This window comes from Homo sapiens, chromosome 2 (assembly GCF_000001405.40).
Source record: "Homo sapiens chromosome 2, GRCh38.p14 Primary Assembly".
Classification (NCBI taxonomy): domain Eukaryota; kingdom Metazoa; phylum Chordata; class Mammalia; order Primates; family Hominidae; genus Homo; species Homo sapiens.
Genome location: NC_000002.12, coordinates 458,979 through 462,292, shown reverse-complemented (window position 1 = coordinate 462,292; position 3,314 = coordinate 458,979).

The following is a 3,314-nucleotide window of genomic DNA, read 5'->3' as shown; positions in this document are numbered from 1 at the left end:
GAGTAACACCAGGCAGTTGTCACAAATGCTGACCTGGACTGGCCAAGACTCTGAACCACGAATTCATGGGCTGGCCAGGGAGTGCCCATCTTGATCAGTTCGCTATGTATTTATTAAACTCATCAAAATTATATGTTCTGAGAATCCTCTTTTATTTGTACTTTTGAAAAATTATAAAATTTTGTAATTTTTCTTACAGTGATAACATTTTTTAACATAGGAAAGTTGAAAAGAAAGAATTCTAAGCCTGCTGAAGAGTTGGAAATTTGAAGAATACAGAGTGGAGGTGAAGGACAGTTTCCTACAGGAGGGCGGGTATGAGGGAGAGAAGGTGTTTCCTGAGTCCCTGCAGGAAGCCACAGCAGTGAGGGCAGGCTGGAGGCAGAGCCTGGCCAGGGAGGCTTATCCCCCAACACCAGGGAGAGGCAGGGCAGGCAGGTGGGAGGCTCTGCAGATTGCAGGGAGAATTCATCATTATGAATGTCATAAAATTTATCTTATGACAGATAAATAGATTTTTTTAATTTTTCATGCCAACTATGAGTGGTAAAGAATGACAAGTTTTCTTCAGTTTGGCACTTACCAATATTCGTGACTAAAGTCAGTAAATCACATGCTTAGACAAGATATGAAAAAGACTCACAATTCCTTAATTAGTGAGCAGATTTTCTTTTCTTTGAGACAAAGCTCTGGGAAGGAAAACTCTCATTCCCAATGGCCCTAAACCAGCCTATTTGTTCCTCTATGTCTGTCCGCAGCCTCTTCCCCTCCATATCTCGGGGACTGCCCAGGCCATCCTGAGCTCAGCCAGGCTCCATCCCACCAACTCTCCATTCGATCCAATGGTCCGCAGGTCCTGAGGGTTCAGGAATACCCCTCTGTTCTGCCCTGTCCTCTTTCTTACCTCTCTCCTGGATTTTGTCAACCTAAACAACAAACAGAGAAAGGACATCCAAATGAGAATAACTTTTATTCTGGAATGGGCATTGCAGTAGGAACCCAAGTGCCATGCCAACCTGCACGTACTCGGAGGGGTCAGTGACAACAAAGGTTTTTGAAGGAAAATGAGGAGAACCACACGATTGTTTTGAGATGATTTATTATTCTTGGCTACAAGGATCAATAACAAGGGTGGCCCCAGTCCAGGCTGCGCAAGCAGTTGCTGGGCAGATGACCTCACAGAAGTATTTTTTGGGTAAGGTTGTGGTGGCCTTTGTGCACAGTTGTGGTTTCCTGCCGTCTTTTGTGGTAGTTCTTGTTGCCAGGCATTCATCTGTGAGTCTCCTCCCTTCCCTGGCTCCGTTTTTCAGGGTTTTGACATAAGCGTCTCCAGTCTGATTCTGACAAATGTCACAACTGGACACGTTCTCCCCTCAGTGACCTCACAGTCCTCCTATTAAAACAAACTGCCTAGAATTGATCAGATAATTTAATTCACACAAGCTCTATGTGGATGAGTAACATGAACAGAGAAATCTTGCTCAGAGAAATATTGTATTTTATTAACAATTGAAACTGCAAACCAAAAAAGTAAAATATATTCATGGTCTTCACTTTGGAGCCCAAAGATGTAAAGACAGCCCTGACATCACCTCAGCAGAGAGAAAGCAAAATTCCGTTTTCAGGTCTGGGAAATGCAGGCACAGGCAGCGAACATCAGGATCTTCTCAGATCAAACCTACTTCTCAAAGCCTGGACCCTCAGGGACAACACTCTGGGCTTAAAAATAAACAGAAACAATAATGCCTCTAACTTCAAACTATGGCGAGGAAAACTGCCTTATTCAAACCTTCATATTGAGGTTCTGAAAAGTAATTTCCTCTGGGGTTTCTAGCCCCAGTGTGGAATCCAGGTGCATTTACAGAGGCAAATCACATGGGAAGTTTAATGGAGAATTAATCCTAAAGTGGCCCTGAACTTATTTTACCTGAACATACAGGACAGTGGCAAAAATAAGTCTACTCTTAAGCTAACTTGACTTAAATCTGAACTCAAAGAAATTCCACAGATAAACTTTCAGGAAAAACGAACTAACCATCCAAAATCAAGAAACACATTAGCAACAAGTTTCAGTGCAGCAGGTCGGCAGGATCAGAGCCACAGAGGCTCCAGCCACAGAAGTCATCCGAGACTCTGGCAAGCCTGCGGCTGAAGGATTTTTAAATAAGGAAAGAACAGACTGCAGATGGACCAAGAGCAACTGTCTAAAAATGTGCAAACAAAGTTGGAAATGAACCAAATTCAAAGTCTAGGCAAGCAAAACATAACATTTAAAATTCAAAGCCTGATGTATGTATTAAAAATCAGATTAGACATTGTTGAGTAAAAAAGCAGTGAACCCCCAAAATGGATCCAGTGAAAATTCAGGGAGAGAAGGGTATAAAAGAGAGATTAGGATCCACTGCTGATTGCATGCGAAGGTCCAATGTTTTTGTATAGATATGAAATATTTTTAATCTTATTTCTAGGCACAATATCTTTTTAATTTCTGTTCATTTGTTTTATATATTTGCCATTATAAATTGGTCTCATTGTATTTTCTATCTGGTTGCAGTTCACATATTTAAACATGTTGTTTTACATATAGAATATACAGCTGACCCTTGAACAACACGGGTTTGACCTGTGCGGATCCACTCATATACCGAATTTTTTCAGTAGAAGTTGCCCTGAGGGAGCCTCCCTCTGCTGTGCCCTCATCCGCCTCCTCTGCCTCCTGCACCTCTGCCACCAGGACAGCAAGACCAAAGCTTTCTCCTCTTCCACCTGCTCAGCCAGCTCAACGTGAAGACAAGGATGAAGACCTGTACGACAGTCAACTTACGCTTAGTGAATGATAAATATACTTTCCCTTCCTTATGACTTCTTTTTTTTTTTTTTTTGAGACGGAGTCTCGCTCTGTCCCCCAGGCTGGAGTGCAGTGGTGCGATCTTGGCTCACTGCCAGCTCTGCCTCCCAGATTCACGCCATTCTCCTGCCTCAGCCTCCCAAGTAGCTGGGACTACAGGCGCTGGCCACCACGCCTGGCTAATTTTTTTGTATTTTTAGTAGAGACGGGATTTCACCGTGTTAGCCAGGACGGTCTCAATCTCCTGACCTCGTGATCCACCTGCCTTGGCCTCCCAAAGTGCTGGGATTACAGGCGTGAGCCACCGCGCCCGGCCGCCTTATGATTTCTTAATAACATTTTATTTTCTCTATCTTACTTTATTGTAAGAATACAGTCTATGACATACAACGTATACAGTATGTATTAATCGACTGTTTATGTTATCAGTAAGGGTTCCCGTCCACAGTAGGCTGTTAGTAGTTAA